The sequence below is a fragment of the Homo sapiens genome, chromosome 2 (assembly GCF_000001405.40).
Source record: "Homo sapiens chromosome 2, GRCh38.p14 Primary Assembly".
In the NCBI taxonomy this organism is placed as follows: domain Eukaryota; kingdom Metazoa; phylum Chordata; class Mammalia; order Primates; family Hominidae; genus Homo; species Homo sapiens.
Window position 1 is genome coordinate 190538129 of NC_000002.12, and position 20723 is coordinate 190558851.

The 20723-nt window shown below is 37.8% G+C and overlaps 1 protein-coding gene, 1 long non-coding RNA gene and 2 pseudogenes across 13 annotated transcripts in view; 1 reads left to right on the forward strand and 3 right to left on the reverse strand.

The window, feature by feature from the left end:
- The window catches only part of NEMP2 (nuclear envelope integral membrane protein 2), a 227365-nt gene that overhangs the window by 116708 nt on the left and 89934 nt on the right, over nt 1-20723 (reverse strand). The gene's annotated exons all lie outside the window — the stretch shown is intronic.
- Nucleotides 1-20723, forward strand: part of NEMP2-DT (NEMP2 divergent transcript) — a 104691-nt gene that overhangs the window by 3291 nt on the left and 80677 nt on the right. The window lies entirely within an intron of this gene.
- Nucleotides 14937-14989, reverse strand: LOC124906136 (uncharacterized; annotated as a pseudogene).
- Nucleotides 15136-15352, reverse strand: RN7SKP179 (RN7SK pseudogene 179; annotated as a pseudogene).

Here is a 20723-nt window from a genome sequence, read left to right on the forward strand (position 1 = left end):
CACCATCCCCTTACCTCTGGTAACCACCAACCTACTTTTTATCTTCATAAGATCCAGTTTTTTTTTAGCTCCCACATATAAATGAGAACATGTGATATTTGTTTTTCTGTGCTTGGCTTATTTCACTTAGCATAGTGACCTCCAGTTCCATCCATGTTGCTGCAAATGATAGGATTTCATTTTTTTTATGGCTGAATAATATTCCATTGTGTATATATGCCACATTTTTTAATCCATTCATCTCATTGATGGACACTTGGGTTGATTCCATGTTTTGTCTATTGTGAATAGTGCTTCAGTAAACATGAGAATACAAATATCTCTTTGATATACTAATTTCCTTTCTTTTGGATATATACCCAGTAGTGGAATTTCTGGATCATATGGTAGGTCTAGTTTTGAGAAACTTCCATATAGTTCCCATAGAGGCTGTGCTAATTTACATTTCCACCAACAGTGCACAAGTATTCCCCTTTCTCCACATCCTTACCAGCATATGTTATTCCCTGTCTTTTTGATTAAAAAAAAAACTGAAGTGAGATACCTCATTGTGATTTTGATTTGTACTTTCCTGATTATTTTGGATGTTGAACATTTTTTCGTATACCTGTTAGCTATTTGTATGTCTTCTTTTGAGAAATGTCTATTCAGATCTTTTGCTTATTTTAAAATTGGATTATTTGGGGTTTTTTGCTATTCAATTGTTTGAGTTCCTGATATATTCTGGTTATTAATCTCGGTCAGACAAGTAGTTTGCAAATATTTTCTCTCATTCTATGGGTTGTCTCTTCCGTTTGTTGAGTATTTCCTTTGCTATGCAGAAGCTTGTTAGCTCGATGTAATTCTGTTTGCCTATTTTTTCTTTGGTTCCCTGTACTTTTGTGGTCTTACCAAAAAATCTTTGCCCAAATCAATGTCCTGAAACGTTTTCTTCTAGTAGTTTCATAGTTTCAGGTCTTAGATTTAAGCCTTTAATTCATCTTGAGTTGATGTTTCTATATGGTAAGATATAGAGGTTAGCTTCATCCTTCTGCATATGGTTATCCATTTTTCCCAGCACATTTTATTGAAGAGACTCTCTTCTCCCCATTGTATGTCCTTGGTACTTCTGTTGAAAATGAGTTGGCTCTAAACATGTGGATTTATTTCTGGGTTCTGTATTCTGTGCCATTGGTCTATGTGTCTTTTGTTATGCCAGTACCCTTCTGTTTTGGTTACTATAGCTTTGTAATATATTTTGAAATCAAGTAGTATGATGTCTCCAGCTTTGTTCTTTTCGCCCAGGATTGCTCTGGCTATTTTGAATCTTGAATGGCTTCATACAAATTTTAGGATTTTTTTTTATTTCTGTGAAGAATGTCATTGGTATTTTGATAGGGGTTGTATTGAATTTGTAGATCACTTTGGGCAGTATGGACATTTTAATAATATTAATTATTCCAATCCATGAAATCTTAAATTTCTTTCATCAGTGTTTTATAGTTTACTTACATAGATTTTTCACTTCATTGGTTAAACTGATTCCTAGGTATTTTATACTCTTTGTAGCTATTATAAATGGGATTGGTTTCTTGATTTCTTTTTCAGATTGTTTGCTTTTAGCATATATAAATACAACTGATTTTTGTATGTTGATTTTTGTATCCTGCAACTTTACTGAATTCATTTACTACTTCTAACAGGTTTTTTTGTGGAATCTTTAGGTTTTTCTAAGTAAAAGATCATGTTATCTGCAAATAAGGCTAATTTGACTTCTTCCTTTCCAATTTGGAAGCCCTTTATTTCTTTCTCTTGCCTAATTGCTCTTGCTAGGACTTCCAGTATTATGTTGGCTAAAAGTAGTGAAAGTGGACATCCTTGTCTTGTTCCAGATCTTAGAGGAAAGGGTTTCAATTTCTCCTTATTCAGTATAATGTTAACTATGAGTTTCTCATCTATGGCCCTTATTATTTTGAGATGTTTTTTCTATATTCAGTTCGTTGAAGGTTTTTTTCATAAAGGGATGAATATTTTATTGAATGTTTTTCCAGCATGTATTGGAACGATCATATGGTTTTTGTTCTGGGTTCTGTTAATGTGATGTATCACATTCATTGATTTGCATATGTCGAACCATCCTTGCATTCCTTGGATGAATTCCACTTGATCATAGTGAATGATTTTTTTTTTTTTTGAGACAGCACCTCACTTTATCACCCATACTGGAGTACAGTGGCACGATCATGGGTCACTGCAGCCTCAACCCCCCAGGCTCAAATGATCCTCCCGCCTCAGCCTCCTGAGTAGCTGGGACTACAGACGCATGCCACCAAGCCCAGATAATATATTTTACTTTATGTTTGGTAGAGATAGGGTCTCACTATGTTACACAGGCTCCTTGAGTTACTCCTGTGCTCAAGCAATCCTCCTGCCTTGGCCTCCCAACTTGCTGGGATTACAGGCATGAGCCAGCATGCATACCCAGCATGCATGATCTTTAAATGTTGTTGAATTCAGTTTGATAGTATTTTGTTGAGCATTTTTGGGTTTGAGGTTTATTAGGGATATTGGCCTGTAGTTTTCATTTTTGTGTGTGGGTCCTTATCTGGTTTTGGTGTCAAGGTAATGGTGGCCTCTTAGAATGAGTTTAGATGTATTCCCTCCTCAATTTTTAAAAAGAGTTTGAGTAGAATTGGTATTAGTTTTTCTTTCAATGTTTGGTAGAATTCAGCAGTGAATCCATTAGATCCTGGGCCTTTCTTTGATGGGAGATTTTTTATTATGGCTTCACTCTCATTATTCATCATTGGTTTGGTGAGGTTTTTAATTTCTTCAATCTTGGCATGTTTTATGTATCCAGGAATTTTTCCATTTCTTCTAGGTTTTCTGATTTGTTGGTGAATACTCATTCACATTAGTCTCTAATGATTCCTTGTATTTCTGTGGTCTCAGTTGTTATGTCTCCTTTTCATTTCTGATTTTATTTATTTGGGTCTTCTCTTCTGAATTAGTCTGGCTAAAAGTTTGTCGATTTTATCTTTTCAAAAAAACAATTTCATTTTATATATATGTGTATATATATATATATTTGGTCTCCATTTTATTTAGTTCTGCTCTGATATTTACTACTTCTGTTCTTCTACTAATTTGGGGTTTGGTTTGTTCTTGTTTTTCTAGTTCCTTCTAGTTCCTTTCTAGTTCCTTCAGGGGCATTGTTAGGTTATTTGAAGTCTTTCTACTTTTTGATATAGATGTTTATTGCTATAAACTTTCCTCTTACTACTGTTATTGCTGTATCCTATAGATTTTGGTATGTTGTATTTGTACTTTCATTTGTTTCAAGAAATTCTTACATTTCTTTCTTAATTTCTTGTTTCATTAATTTCTTCATTTGTTCATTTCTTAATTGGTCATTTGGAAGCAAGTTGTTTAATTTTAACAGGTTGATGTAACTATTATTGTTTTTCATAGATATGTCTTTTGGGCTTCATATTAAAGCTGTTAGTAGATTGCACACCACAGTTACAGTATTAGAGTATTCTGGGTTTGCCCACATACTTAATTTTACCACTGGGTTTTAAACTTTCAAATATTTTCTATTTGCAACTTAGTGTTTTTACCTCTCAGATTGAAGAACTCCCTTTAGCATTTCCTGTAAGATGGGGCTGGTGCTGAATTCTGTGAACATTTTTCTGGGAAGGATTTTATCTCTTCTCTATATTTGAAAGATAGCTTTGCAGAATACAGTATTCTTGGATAGCAGTTTTTTTTTTTCTTTTTCTAACAGCACTTTGAAAATGTCCCATTTCCTCCTGGCCTGTATGGTTTTTGTTGAGAAGTCTGTTGCCAGAAAAATTGGAGCTCCTTCATATGTTATTTGTTTCTTTTTGCTGCTTTTGGGATCCTCTCTTTGTCGTCTGAGTTTGATTATTACATGCCTTGGGGTAGTCTTACTAAGGTTAAATCTGTTTGGTGTTCTCTGACCTTCCTGTACCTGGATATTTATCTCTTTCTGTTTTGGAAATTTTTCTGTTATTATTTCTCTGAATAAGCTTTCTACCTCTTGCTCTTGCCCAACTCCCTCTTGAACACACATAATTCTTAGATTTGTTTTGTGTTTTTGAGGTGGAGTCTTGCTCTGTTGCCCAGGCTTGAGTGCAGTGGTGCAATCTTGGCTCACTGCAACCTCTGCCTCCCAGGTTCAAGCAATTCTTTTGCCTCAGCCTCCCTAGTAGCTGGGACTACAGGAGTGCACCACCACACCCAGCTGAGTTTTGTATTTTTGGTAGAGACAAAATTTCGCCATGTTGGCCCGGCTAGTCTTGAACTCCTGACCTCAAGTGATCTGCCCACCTTGGCCTCCCAAAGTGCTGGGATTACAGGTGTGAGCCACTGTGTCCAGCCCTGAGATTTGATTTTTGAGGTAACTTTCTATATCTTGTAGGTGATCTTCCTTTTCATTGTTTTTTTACTTTTTTTTTTCTTCTGGCTGTGTCTTTTTAAATAGCCTGTCTTCAGGCTCACTGATTCTTTCCTCTGCTGAATCTATTCTGCTGTTGAGAACCACTAATGAATTTTTCAGTTTAGCAAATGTGTTTCTCAGTTCTAAGATTTCTATTTGATTTTTAAAATTATTTTAATCTCTGTTAAATTTCTCTGATAAATTTCTGAATTGCTATTCTGTGTTATCTTAGAGATCACTAAGTTTCCCTAAATCTGCTGTTTTGAATTCTTGGTCAGAAAGTTCACATAGCACTGTTTTTGTAGGTTTAGTCACTGGTTCTTTGCTTTGTGTGTCTGGAGAGGTCATGGTTCCCTGTTTACTATAGTTTCTTGTGAATCTATATCTATGTCTTTGTAATGAAGAATTAGTTACTTATTCCAGTCTTCTCTATCTGGCTTGTTTGGGTTTTTACTGTACATGTTTGCTCAGATTCTTTGTAATTTATTTATTGATAGTCTTCCCTCCACCCGTGACTAGGCTGCTATCTTCTTTTCAGCCCTGGATGGTGCCTTAAGCCCAGTTTGCCTGGCACTAATAAATAACCAGAGTGCCACCTGTCCCAAATGAGGGAGGTCCCAAAGTGGGTAGCCTGCTACTGTGAAAAGGCTGGCTAGGAGTTTGTGCCCAGGGTACCTGTGGAACAAACCTCCGACAGCACAGTGCTGATGAACAGTCACTCTCATTTGATATCTCTTTTGGCCAAGTCACTGAGCAGAGTTTTTAGGTGGGATGGTTGTCCTCTCTTTTTGCCCCTGTCTCTGGCTGTTCTCAAGGATATTTCTCCCTGGCTCACAGTTTTTACACTGGAAAAGTGAGATTGAGGTGGACAATCAGCTTTCTCACCATCTTGGGTTCCCTGGCAGGAGTCCTGTTCCTGCCTCAACCCTTGGGAAGCATCAGCAGTGCCTGAAATACCACACACTTGGTGACAGGCAGATTGAGGAGAGGTGCATTGTAAATATGTAAGTTCAATTCTCTTACCACCTGCTTGTAATTTTTTCACTTCTCTGTGGCTTCAGGAACTGTCTCATCCTCCTATTGGAGTTCAGGAATTTTGCTGGTGATAATGTTAGGGGCTGTATATTTGTTTTTGGGTTTCTGTAGAAAAAAAGTGAAGCCAGCTTGCTTATAACCCACCATTTTGGAACCAGAAGTCTCATAAATTCTTTAATTCCATTAGACTATTTCCATGTGATGTGAAAAAGATGACAATTCAATTTTCAGCCTCTGCTTTTTTATTTCTATGGTTCTTGCTCTTTATAACTAATTAATTTTCAGTAACTGTCATGGGCTATAATCAGTCACTATGAATCAGAAGTAAAATTCAGCTCATGTGAGAAATTATTTAGGAGCTTTCACTTAGCTTTTAGGTAGAACATTTAATTAAGTTAAAAGAAAATGGCAAAGTTCTACTACTTTAGGTTCTTTGATAAAGAAAAATTTAGTCTGTTACTGCAATAATACCAGCCAATGCCATAAAGATTACAGAGGCTATGTGTCATCATTTCTTTCTTTCAAAAATCCCCAGTTTTAGAATTTTACTCATTAAAAGACAGAGTATCTGAGACTTCTCCATAAAAGAATAAAAATAGAAGTTGATTTGTTGTATCACGTTTTTCTTAGCATATTTCATTTAGAAAATATTTTGAAATTGACTTGCCATATACTAGTTCAGTAATTTTAATAAGTCATGTCAAAACTAATAAATAGGTTATTTCAATAAAAATAAATGATATTGTATAGGATTAGAATAAATATAATTTATTAAGAAAAAGGTAATATGTCCTCTATAATAAATTGCTAAAGCTCTTGGTAAAAAAAAATTGGTTAAATTCCTGTAAGTTGAGAGATGTGGAATTTTTTTAAGTTGTGATTCTCAAATTTTGGTGTGAATGAGAGTCCCATCTCTAAAGATTCTTATTCAGTAGGTCTGATATATAGCTTGGGGATTTACATTTATGATTCTGAAGCAAATATTCTTTTGACTATACTGTATTAGTGGTGAGAAAAAATACTCAAAAGTGATTGGTGATTACTGAATCATGGCTGGAAAATAGTATTAATGGGAAAAATAGTATAATCAGTTAATCTGAAAAAAGCAAAGTTGAACAAATACAGTGCATCTAAGAGTACATTTAAGGTAACTAAGATACAGGAAACTGGTCACCAGTTATTTATTATTTTTTTAAAAAGTAGCCAGGTGTGGTGGTTCATGCCTGTAATACCAGCACTTTGGGAGGCCATGGCAGGAGGATCACTTGAGCTCAGGAATTCTAGACTAGCCTAGTCACCATAGTGAGACACTGTCTCTACCCCCGCAAAAAAAAAAAAAAAAAAAAAAATTAGCTGGGTGTAGTGGCACACACCTGTAGTCCCAGCTACTCAGGAGGCTGATGTAGGAGGATCACTTGAGCCAGGAGTTCAAGCCACAGTGAGCTATGATTACGCCACTGCATTCCAATCTGGGCAACAAATCAAGACCCTGTCTCAAAAGTAAGTAAATAAATAAAACAAAAAAGTAAGAAAAAAAAAGATTTATTTTTCAGTTAGTAGGTTTAGGATTACACTATAAATAAAATTTCCCAGCATTGGGACTCTAGTTTGTCTCTTGCTTTGACACCATCCGATCTCACCAACTCCACTTCACTTGATTCCTAAGGAGCCTCTGCCAAAGTTTTCTTTGCAACTAACACACCATTAGGAAACATTTTTTTCAATCAGCCATTCTCTACTATCTAGCGTTCTCTTTTTTCCCCCCACTGGGGTAATTTCTTTTAAGATGATTTACAGTGAGAGAAGATGAGTTATATTTCAAAGTTTATTTTCTTTCAAGGAAACCTACAAACAGCAGATATCCGTTTAGTTTAAGTTACTTAACTGCCTTTCTTAGTCGTTTTTTGATAATGAAAGAGATTTATGTATGATTCAGGAACCTTTCAATTCAGTTAAGACATCGGGATTGTCTCTTCTAGCTTTCAGTTCTTGATCATGCACTTCAGAATATCCCCAGCAATCACAATCTATGCAGAAAATTCTTCAATCTATTTTCTTTCATGTGTTTTTGGAAAGAACTCAAATATTTTTAAAAAGGGGTGGGTGGAGGTTGGGGAACAGAGATATAACAGTGTCTCAGATTTTGTTCTGCTTCTATGTTCTCTCTCTCTCTTTCCCTCTCCCTCTCTTTCTTTTTCTTTTTTAAAGTCAGTTCTCCAGAGCCTCTGTTTTCATTATTGCTGTCTCTTTGTACTCCGTATCTGGCTACATTCAAGTATGTTACAGAGTTTTTATACAGATCTTTCACTCCCTATTTTTCTAGCACATTATTGCTGGTCATAGGAGTGGAATGTCAAAGAAAACGCAACCCAGTGTGGGAAAGAAATTTATAATCTAGATACTCCTAGTATTTTATTTTACAAAGAAAATTGACATAATAGAATCTATTTGTTCTACACTGTTTCTATAACAAAATCACAATTTCTAGATTAGTCATGTTTCAAAAGAAACCGTGGAAAGTGGAATGTATAAATAATTCAACAAATACACAGTCAGCCCCTCCATATCTGTGTGTTCCGCATCCATGGCCTTACTCAACCACAGACAGAAAATTTTTTTTTTTAAAAAAGAAAAGATGGCTGCATCTATACTGAACACATACAGACTGTTTTCCCTTGTTAGTCCCTAAACAATACAGTATAACAACAATTTGCTTGGGATTTACATTGTATTAGGTATTATAAGTAAACTAGAGCTAATCTAAAGTGTATGGGAAGATGAATGTAGGCTATATACAAGTACTTACTGCAACATTTTATATCAGAGATTTGACTGTCTCTGGATTTTTGTATCATGGGAGGTCCTGGAATAAGTCTCCCACAGATACTGAGGGACGACTATACTTCTAAGTTTTGCTAATGTCGTTAATCATATTTTGCCAATAAAGTCCATCTACCTGAAATTAGATATATTTTTGCTTACACTATGCAAAGTCTCTAACGTTAGATGAAAATGAATAATTATTATTATTTGGTACATTTCAGTTACTTCCCCTACCCCCACCCCCATTTTATTACATCTGTTTACTGTGATTTATAGGTCCTGTCCTTAGCAATAGAGTCAAGAAATCTACCTGTATTGTTGAGGTATATATTAGCTAGGATATTTCCAACTACAAGTAACAAAATGTATAACTAAAAGTGTCTTAAACAAAACATTTATTATGTTGTGTGCACGGAAGTCTCAAAGCCAGTTGATTCAGTAGCTTAAGCATGCTCCCAAGGACCCAGGCTGTTTTCAGCTTCTTTCCACCACTCTCCACTTGTTGGACTTTGTCCTTAAGCTTTTGCCTTCATAATTGAAAAAGGCCGTCCTTGCTGCTGACACTGGGTTCTCACACAATCACAACCAAATATAGGGAGGACTATCTCCCTTTTCATCTCTTGAATGGGGAAGAAAAGACTTTCTTGAAAGCTCTCATCTTCACCTTCTCGTCAGACTCCTCAGACTTTCTGGTCCCATGTATTTTGGTAGCCTATACCCTTGCTAAAAGCGGTGGAGCGAGTGTCTGGTATTTTTAAACTTTATAGTGGGAAGTGGTTTCATAGAAGACAAAAACTGGAATAGTAATAGGCAGTGGAGAAAATCACTATGGTGATATTTTTGACAGCTCCCCAGAGCCTTCATAAATGTGTGAAAATGGTAATCTGAAACTTTATGGTGACTTAATAAATGAGTTTTATTCATTATTCTAAACTTTGACAAATGTATTTTCTATTTTGAAATATACACACTGACTCAAAATGGGAGTTGCTTCTGCACCAATTATGTATTTTTCCCCTATTAATCCTGTTGAGTAGATTGAGATAACATCTTTATTTTAAATCATTCAATTTCCTAAATAGCAAAATTGCAAATACTTTTTATTCTTTTGTTTTTGAGATGGAGTTTTGCTCTGTCACCCAGGCTGGAGTGCAGTGGTGCCATCTTGGCTCACTGCAACCTCCACCTCCTGGGTTCAAGCGATTCTCGTGCTTCAACCTCCTGAGTAGCTGGGACTACAGGTGCACTGCACCACACCCAGCTAATTTTTTTTCTTTTTGTATTTTTTAGTAGTGATGGGGTTTCATCATGTTGGCCAGGCTAGTCTCAAACTCCTGACCTCAGGTGATCCGCCCACCTTGGCCTCCCAAAGTGCTGGGATTACAGGTGTGAGCCACCGTGCCCATCCACAAATACTTCTTATTCTTATAATAAAATAAGAAAAATTCGATAAAGGAGGATGGGTTATCATGAGGAAAGTAAGGAAAAGATAATAGGAATGGCAGAAAAAGAAAGAGGAGATAAAAAAGGAGAGGTGGGGTGGAAAGAGCAGTGACTAATCCAGATGGTCCAGTGTGAGAAAGCTGGGTTAACTAGGTCACTTGCCACTTGGAATGACAGGCAGGATAAGCCATTAAGACAGTGGAGCAAATAGAAGGAAAGAGGGAGGATGTAGACTCCTTTTTCAGGCATGCATTCTGCAGGTTAGAATTTGTCTCTCCTAACCACATTGTGGTTGTGTCCCTGGAACTACATGTTCATATATCTTGGCATTAGGATTCTGATGGCACTCCTTTTTTTTTTCTTTTCACTTAAAGATAATTTGCCTAACACTAATGTTTAAAACAATCCATTTAAAATTTAAGCCTCTTAACTTATTTCAGCAATAATTAAAGCAAGGTTAGAATAGGCCAAGGAAAATTTTATACCCTGAGTTTCAAAGGGCCAGACCTAAGTAATGAGGGCTTCATAAATATGTATTCCTCTATGTAAAATCTAAGCCCACTTTAGGGCAAACAGCTCATCTAAACATACTAATTTTCTTGGATTTGTTTTAAGATTTAGAGGTTACTCCTTCCCCTCCATTTCACTGTTTCACCTGATTCTTGCCTTTTCCTAGTTTTCCCTCTTTCTACTTTTTGCTGTATATAGTAAGTACTGAAATATTATAGGTACTTTTCATTATTTTTCAATCTTGAGTAATACCAATGAGAGAATCTTGTTAAAATTCTTTGTTGTGATAGCGATCTTTTATGTTAAACAGATTTTTGTTACTCTTAATCTTTATATCTATCATGAAGTAAAACAGATTTAGAAAGCTATACAAAAATAAATGTGTGCTTAGTGGGTTATTATACAGCAGACATGCTGGTAGCCATCACCCAAATCAAGAAGTAGAATTTTCCAGCTACTCCAGCTCTCCATGTGCCTTGTCCCAATTTCAAACCTCTTCCTACTCCAAAAATATCCACCATCCTGATTTTTATAATAATCACTTTCATGTGTTTGTTTATAGTTGTATGAACCAAGTGTACATCCATAGACACTATATTTTTGCCCATTAATAATTGTTTTGGTTGTCCCTTAAGTCTCTCATATCCACCTGTTCACCCCTCCACTTTCTCTTTTCCTTATGATATATCTATTGAAAAACTAGAGCTGTTTGATATGTAGTTTCCCACAGCTGAGTATCACTGTTTTCATACTTACAGTGCAGTTTGGCATGTGCCTCTGTTCTCTGTTCCTGAAAACTGGCAACTGGATTCAAAGGCTTCCGCAGACTTGGGTTTTATCCCTTTCAGTGAGGCTATAGGTTTTGTGTGTGTTCTTTCATAAAATGTCTGACTGACTCTCTTTTTGTGACATTAGGAACTATTGATATCTAGATCCACTAATTCATTGGAGGTTGCAAAATGTTGACACTCAAATTCCGTGATTTCTTTTTCATATATTAGTTGGAATACTTTTATAAGGAAATGGATCTCCTCATCTACTATTTGGCTACCCAATGGTGCAGTTCATGTAGAAAAGGCAGGATAAGTGATTGGTTCTTTTCCCCTAATTTACCAGTTTTCAAGATAATTAATTGGTTCCTTTTCATCCTCTGAAGCTGAACAATTCTTTGTTTTTTTGAATAATATTATCATGAACTCATGGATTTCTATATATTTAATAAGATTTCGATGAATAGCAATTATTACTTTTTTTTTCCTGAAGCTCAAATTGTCCTATCTTCGACCAATAGGATTCTCTTCAAGTTGGCTCCTGAGCCCTTTTGACATATCCTAGTAAATTTTTGCCAGTTTCTTTGATATCTGATATCAGATATTCCAGGATCATTTGTATGGTTCCTTCCCTAGACATGGAATCCGTCATGTCTCCAAAAAGTCCTGATATATTTGAAATTAGATTTCAAAGCAAAACGTTTGGGAAATAAAATTTCAAGACTACAGTCCAGGCATTAATGCTTGGTTCTACCTGGTTGGTTATTGTTTCTGCAACTTTTCAGTAGCAGAACTAGAAAGCCTGTCTACTGATAAGTATACATATTGATATAACTCTACAAATAAAATATCTAATGATCACACTGATATTTCTAATGAAAGTTCAGGACTATGGGGTTTTTTACATAGCTTTATTTATACTACATTGCATCTCTTTTCCCCATATCAAGATTCCTAGTTCCCAGGTATACAGTAGATGACAGTGTCTTAATCTGTTTGGGGTGCTATAACAAAATACTATAAACTGGATAGCTTACAAAGAACAGATATTTATTTTTGACAAATCTGAAGGTTGGGAAGTCCAGGATCAAGATACCGGTAGATTCCATGTCTGGTGAGGGCCTGTTTCCCAGTTTATAGGTGGCTCCTTCTTACTATGTCCCCACCTGGTGGAATGGGTGAACAAGCTACCTGGTGCATCTTTTATAAGGGCACTAATTCCATTCATGAGGGCTCTGCTCTCACAACCTAATCCCCCGACAAGGCCCTACCTCCTAATACTATCACCTTGGGGGTTAAGATTTCAACATATAAATTTTGGGGGGACACAAACATTCAAACCATAGCGATGAAATTAGAATATCTCATAATTACTCATTAACTTTATTCCACGTTACACACACAACAGGATCAGAATAATAATACACATACTACTACCAATAGCATAAGAACAAAATACAGCTTAAAGTACTTTTTTCATATCATCTCCCTTCTCTATTTTTTAATAGCAGTGCTATATCTGCATTTTGTACAAATGTAGCCTTTACATGTTATGCTCTCTCTTAACTCACACTTATTATTAGTTTCAGGTAACTGTCTTTAATGTATACCATCAGTCCTCATGTTGATATATCTTTTAATGATCTGAAACTCATTCACTAGAATCTTTAGGAAGGGCTAAAAAACAGTATTCTCAAAGTTTTTGTCTTCACTCGTTTGTGTGGATGCCTGGTAACCTAGTCATTGTAAATATTGTTCAGTGGCTTTTATAGTTGAGCATTTTAATGTTGGTTCATATTGTATTCCTTGAGTCTCTTTAGTATGTTATTCTGTTTTCTTTTGGCATAAAGTATTGTTGTAAAAAATATGATGGTAATCTAATCTTCTTACCCTTACAAATCACTTGCTGGTTTTGACTTCATAGCCAATGGACTTTTTTTTTTTTTTTTTAAGTTCATCCATCTTACTAGAAATACATCTTGGTGTTATTTGTTGTAGGTCAATATTCTCAGCTACATAGTGTGCTTTTTCAACATATAGTTTCATATTATTGTTTAGGGAAAATTTTCTCCAACTATAGTTTTAAATATTTGTTTTGTCCCCTTGTTTTACTTTTCTTCTTCATAGATTCTGGTTATTTGTGGTTGAATCTTCTCATCCATCTTCAATATTTGTCAATTTCTCTCTAATGGTTTTAATCTTTTTCTTTATTTCTTTTTCATTTAATTTTTTTTTCTTCTTTTTTCAATTTTCTATTTCTCCTAGGGCAAAGTTTGTTTTGTTTTCTTTGCTCTTCTGTTTCTCCTAGTATAGTTTCATTTCTGAAATAATTTTTATTTTATTTCTAATTGTCCCCTGAGTTCTGCCACCTCAATTCTGAGTTTTTAAAATTTGGATTAATGTTTGCATTTCATTTCTTGTATCATTTTCTTAATGTATTTTAGCTTCTTTTGAAATAGAAAGTTATAGTTTAGATTTGTTCTGTGAGCATGTCTTTCTTGTGTAGGGATTTTTCTGCTCATTTTTTCCCCTTAGGAATAAGTGCAAGAGATTTCGCCTCAATACTTTTCTGTTTTAAATTTTTACATGAAAGTGTCTTTCCATAACTGTTAGTAGGACTGATTCGTGATTTTTGGGTAGCTTCTCTAACTTCACACAAACTCCCTCTTCTGTTGTTTTTATGTATTAAAAAGAGTCAGCTTGCCGTATAAGATTTCCTGGTTCTATTCCCTCCTCTCCCGTTATCTGGGCCTCCTTTATCAGTTGTTCTGCTATCCATGTCTCTGTCCAGCTCCATTTTGATTCCACTTGGTATTTCTCTTTAGTGTGACCCAGTCCTGGAAGGGAATCCTGGAAGGGAGCCCGGGCAGGTCATGTTTCTAGAGAGAAATCGTAAGATCTAGATTGCTTAAGCACTCTCAGTCTTTGTAGCAGACCTTTTGCACTCACAACTTGTGGGTTGGGCAAGACCTACCCACGTGTTTCCCAGTAAATAGCTGTTGCTGTTTTGGGCTTCCCTCATTCTCAAGTCTGTCAAAGTCTGTCAAGTTTCATTGCTTCCCCCCTTGCTTCCTCCTGCTCAGATGCTGATATAATTCAGGTCTTGTGGCTGTTTGGTGGTTCGTCTTCATTCATCAGTGTGGATGCCTGGTAACTAGTCATTATAAATATTGTCTCTGAGTTTTTTATTTTGTTAAGTAGTTACTCTGTTTTTATGTTGAGATTTGGATTTTAAAATATACTGCTGCCACTGTCATCTTCCCAGAACCCACTGAATAGATTAAAAATATTCTCTTCTTTGGCTGGTCAAGGTGGCTCCTGCTGTAATCCCAGTGCTTTGGGAGGCTAAGGCAGGAGGCCAGGAGTTCAAGACAAGCCTGGGTAACATACCAAGACCCCATCTCTACCAGTGAAAGAAAAATAGCCAGGAGTGGTGGCACACACCTATAATCCCAGCTACTTGGGAGGCTGAGGCAGAAAGATTGCTTGATTCCAGGAGTTCGAGGCTACAGTGAGCTATGATCCCACCACTGCACTCCAGCTTGGGCAATAGAGTGAGAACCTATCTCAAAAAAAAAAAAATTCTCTTTGCTACGTAGAATCCCCATTTTCACAAGAATCAGAAATGGTAAATTGGTATTAACTTTCTAAGCTTTGATAATGTAATTGTAACTTCAACAGTTTAGGGAATGTGTTCTCAATGTTATAAAATCCTCTAAGAATTGTATAGCAGTGTATTTTTTTCAGTCTACTGCTGGTATGGTTAAAGAGAGAAAATATCTGTGTCCTAGAACCAGTTAAAAAAAATTAAGTGTTCCAAGTATTAATGGAAACCAAATTTACACAAAACTTTGGTACAAAGCAGTTCGTAAGCAGAATATTATAAAAATAACAATTTCTTTTTTTTTTTTGTGAGGGGTTTTCCTGGAAAAGCTGCTAGACAAATTCTAAAAGAGCTGTAACACTAAAAAACAACAATTCTTATTATTGTAGAGGAAGAGGTCTATTTACACAGTGTTTTCACATACACTACCTCATTTAATCCTCAAAATAGTCCTCTTAGGGAGATACTGTTATTATGCATTCCATTCTTCGTCAGAAAAAAAAAATTGAACTTAGAGAACTCAAATGACTTGATTTAAGATTGTAGCAAGAAGGACTCTTACCACCTCTACCTGCAAAGTGTTCACTTTTCCACCAAGGGCTCAGCTTTGGTGAGATCCCTGTGTAGCATGTGGAAAGAAGTAGAAACCTGCCTAGTCAGCTCTATCAGTCATATACTCCCAGAGGACCCACAGGGTGACAGGTGCTGCAGGCAGATCACTCTCATGGTCTGGCTAAAAGCTTTGTCTAGCACCTTAAAGCCTGTAAGTGACAGGAGTGGCATTTGAATTGAGGTTTTCTGACTACAAATCCTCTGGTTTGCTTTTTCGTGCTAGCTAACATCCACTTCAGCAGAGAGCTTTGTGGAGCCTGTAGCTTGAGCAGCTCCAGGTGGCATCACAAAATCTGCGTGTTGCTGAACATGAGTAGCTTTGATTCATGATAGGTGTGAGAGGACCATGTCAGAACATTTCTGGTGATTGTGGCAGCATTTCTCAAACATTTACTCCTGAGTGCTCCGAGAGGCAGAGAGGAGGATCCTGTCCTACATCTCCATGGACTCTTTTATTACATTCTAATATTTTTACCTTAAAATTCATGCTGAGAGAGATTGCTGGCAAGATGGCTGAATAGGAACAGCTCTGGTCTACAACTTCCAGTGAGATCAATGCAGAAGGCGAGTGATATCTGCATTTCCAACTGAGGTACCCAGTTCATCTCACTGGGACTGGTTGGGCAGTGGGTGCAGCCCAAGGAGGGCGAGCTGAAGCAGGGTGGGGCATCGCCTCATCCGGGAAGCACAAGGGGTCAGGGGAACTCCCTCTCCTAGCCGAGGGAAGTCATTAGGCACTGTACCATGCACTCCGGCCCAGATACTGCGCTTTTCCCACAGTCCTCACAACCCACAGACCAGGAGAGTCCCTCCAGTGCCTACGTCACCAGGGCCCTGGGTTTCCAGCACAAAACTGGGCAGCTGTTTGGGCAGATACCGAGCTAGCCGCAGGAGTTTTTTTTTCATACCTCAGTGCGCCTGGAACACCAGGGAGACAGAACCGTTGACTCCCCTGGAAAGGAGACTGAAGCCAGGGAGCCAAGTGGTCTGGCTCTGCAGGTCCCACCCCCACAGAGCCTAGCAAGCTAAGATCCACTGGCTTAAAATTCTTGCTGCCAGCACAGCAGTCTGAGCTCGACCTGGGACTCTGGAGCTTGGTGGAGGGAAGGGTGTCCACCATTGCTGAGGCTTGAGTAGGTGGTTTTACCCTCACAGTGTAAACAAAGCCACCAGGAATTTCAAACTGGGCGGAGCCCACTGCAGCTCAGCAAGGCCTCTGCAGCCAGATTGCCTCTCCAGGTTCCCTCCTCTCTGGGCAGGGCATCTCTGAAAAAAAGGCAACAGTCCCAGTCAGGGACTTATAGATAAAACCCCCACTTCCCTGGGACAGAGCACCTGGGGGAAGGGGCGGTTGTGGAGGCAGCTTCAGCAGACTTAAACGTCCCTGCCTGGCAGCACTGAAGAGAGCAGTGGATCTCACAGCACAGTGTTCAGGCTCCGATAAGGGACAGTGTGCCTCCTCAAGTGGGTCCCTGACACCCAGGTATCCTGACTGGGAGACACCTCCCAATAGGGGCCGACAGACACCTCATACAGGAGAGCTCTGGCTGGCAACTCGTGGGTGCCCCTCTGGGACAAAGCTTCCAGAGGAAGGAACAGGCAGCAATCTTTGCTGTTCTGCAGCCTCTGCTGGTGATACCCAGGCGAACAGGGTCTGGAGTGGACCTCCAGCAAGCTCCAGCAAGCTCCAGCAGACCTGCAGCAGAGGGGCCTGACTGTTAGAAGGAAAACTAACAAACAGAAAGGAATAGTATCAACATCAACAAAAAGGACATCCACTCAGAGACCCCATTTGAAGGTCCCCAAATTCAAAGACCAAGGGTAGATAAATCCACAAAGATGGGGAAAAACCAGTGCAAAAAAGCTGAAGATTCCAAAAACCAGAATGCCTCTTCTCCTCCAAAGGATCACAACTCCTTGCCAGCAAGAGAACAAAACTGGACAGAGAATGAGTTTGACAAATTGACAGAAGGAGGCTTCAGAAGGTGGGTAATAACAAACTCCTTCGAGCTAAAGGAGCATGTTCTAACCCAATGCAAGGAAGCGAATAGCCTTGAAAAAAGGTTAGAAGAATTGCTAACTAAAATAACCAGTTTAGAGAAGAACACAAATGACCTGATGGAGCTGAAAAACACAGCACAAGAACTTCATGAAGCATACATAAGTATCAATAGCCAAATTGATCAAGCAGAAGAAAGGATATCAGAGATTGAAGATCAACTTAATGAAATAAAGCGAGAAGACATGCTAAAAAAAAAGAATGAAAAGGAACAAACAAAGCCTCCAAGAAATATGGGACTTTGTGAAAGATCAACTCTACATTAGATTGTTGTACCTGACAGTGACAGGGAGATTGGAACCAAGTTAGAAAACACTCTTCAGGATATTATCCAGGAGAACTTCCCCAACCTAGCAAGGCAGGCCAACATTCAAATTCAGGAAATACAGAGAAATTGAGGCAGCAATTAATAGCCCACCAACCAAAAAAAGTCCAGGACCAGATGGATTCACAGCTGAATTCTACCAGAGGTACAAAGAGGAACTGGTACCATTCCTTCTGAAACTATTCCAAACAATAGAAAAAGAGGGAATCCTCCCTAACTCATTTTAGGAGGCCAGCATCGCCCTGATACCAAAACCTGGCAGAGACACAACAAAAAAAGAAAATTTCAGGCCAATATCCCTGATGAACATTGATGCGAAAATCCTCCATAAAATACTGTCAACCCAAATCCAGCAGCACATCAAGAAGCTTATGCACCATGATCAAGTTGGCTTCATCCCTGGGATGCAAGGCTGGTTCAACAAACACAAATCAATAATTGTGATCCATCACATAAAACAGAACCAATGCCAAAAACCACATGATTATCTCAATAGATGCAGAAAAGGCCTTTGACAAAATTCAACAGCTCTTCATGCTAAAAACTCTCAATAAACTAGGCATTGATGGAACGTATCTCAAAATAATAAGAGCCATTTATGACAAACCCACAGCCAATATCATACTGAATGAGCAAAAATTGGAAGCATTCCCTTTGAAAACCGGCACAAGACATGGATGCCCTCTCTCAACACTCCTATTCAACACAGTATTGGAAGTTCTGGCCAGGGCAATCAGGCAAGAGAAAGAAATAAAGCATATTTGATTAGGAAGAGAGGAAGTCAAATTGTCTCTGTTTGCTGATGACATGATTGTATCTTTAGAAAACCCCATTGTCTCAGCCCAAAATCTCCTTAGGCTGATAAGCAACTTCAGTAAAGTCTCAGGATACAAAATGAATGTGCAAAAATCACAAGCATTCCTATACACCAATAGCAGACAAACAGCCAAATCATGAGTGAACTCCCATTCACAATTGCTACAAAGATAATAAAATACCTAGGAATACAACTTACAAGGGATGTGAAGGACCTCTTCAAGGAGAACTACAAACCACTGCTCAAGGAAATAAGAGAGGACACAAACAAATGGAAAAACATTCCAGGCTCATGGATAGGAAAAATCAATATCATGAAAATGGCCATACTGCCCAAAGTAATTTATAGATTCAATGCTATCCCCATCAAGCTACCATTGACTTTCTTCACAGATCTAGAAAAAATTACTTTAAATTTCATATGGAACCACAAAAGAGCCCACATAGTCAAGACAATCCTAAGCAAAAAGAACAAAGCTGGAGGCATCATGCTACCTGTCTTCAGACTATACTACAAGGCTATAGCAATAAAAACAGCATGGTACTGGTACCAAAACAGATATGTAGACCAATGGAACAGAACAGAGGCCCCAGAAATAATGCCACACATCTACAACCATCTGATCTTTGACAAACCTGACAAAAAACAAGCAATGGGAAACAATTCCCTATTTAATAAATGGTATTGGGAAAACTGGCTAGCCATATGCAGAAAGCTGAAATTGGATCCCTTCCTTACACCTTATAAAAAATTAATACAAGATGGATTAAAGACTTAAACGTAAGACCTAAAGCCATAAAAACCCTAGAAGAAAACCTAGCCAATACCATTCAGGACATAGGCATGGGCAAAGACTTCATGACTAAAACACCAAAAGCAATGGCAACAAAAGCCAAAATTGAAAGTGGGATTAATTAAACTAAAGAGCTTCTGCACAGCAAAAGAAACTATCATCAGAGTGAACAGGCAACATACAAAATGGGAGACAATTTTTGCAATGTATCCATCTGATAAAGGGCTAATATCCAGAATCTAAAAAGAACTTAAACAAATTTACAAGGAAAAAAAAACAACCCCATCAAAAAGTGGGCAAAGGATATGAACAGATGCTTCTCAAAAGAAGACATCTATGTGGCCAACAAACATATGAAAAAATGCTCATTATCACTGGTCATTAGAGAAATGCAAATCAAAACCACAGTGAGATAGCATCTCACGCCAGTTAGAATGGCAATCATTAAAAAGTCAGGAAACAAAAGATGCTGGAGAGGATGTGGAGAAATAGGAACGCTTTTACACTGTTGGTGGGAGTGTAAATTAGTTCAACCATTGTGGAAGACAGTGTGGTGATTCCTGAAGGACCTAGAACTAGAAATACCATGTGACCTAACAATCCCATTCCTGGGTATATACCCAAAGGATTATAAATCATTCTACTATAAAGACACATGCACACATATGTTTATTGCAGCACTGTTCACAATAGCAAAGACTTGGAACCAACCCAAATGCCCATCAATGATAGACTGGATAAAGAAAATGTGGCACATATACACCATGGAATACTATGACGCCATAAAAAGGATGAGTTTATGTCCTTTGCAGGGACATGGATGACACTGGAAACCATCATTCTCAGCAAACTAACACAAGAACAGAAAACCAAACACTGCATGTTCTCACTCATAAGTGGAAGTTGAATAATGAGAACACATGGACACAGGGAGGGGAATATCACCCACCGGGGCCTGTTTGGGGTTAGGGGCTAGGGGAGGGATAGCATTAGGAGAAATACCTAATGTAGATGACGGGTTGATGGGTGCAGCAAACCACCATGGCACATGTATACCTATGTAACAAACCTGCACGTTGTGCACATGTACCCCAGAACGTAAAGGATAATAAAAAAAATTCATGCCAACTTTAAATTCTATTTTGTAATATATCTGTGCTATTTAGATACTAAAAGAATATTTTGCACTACTTGCCAGCAGGTAAAATTGTTATAGCTGGTAATAATACAGGTTTATCCAGTGGCTCTTAGTACCTTCTGGCATACCACCATGTAACCCTAAAGTGGAAGCCAAGAGAAGGAGTGAAGAGAAGTAGGCTGCAGACTCATCATAGGAGTTTGAAGATTCTGCTAAACATTTGGGCTTTATTATGTGGAAAAAGAGGAGCCGATGAAGTATTTCAAAAAATAAAGTAAACTGATAGGATTTGTGTTTTAGATGAATGGCTTTTGAACTTCTTTGATCACCATCACCTATTAATAAGGAAGACA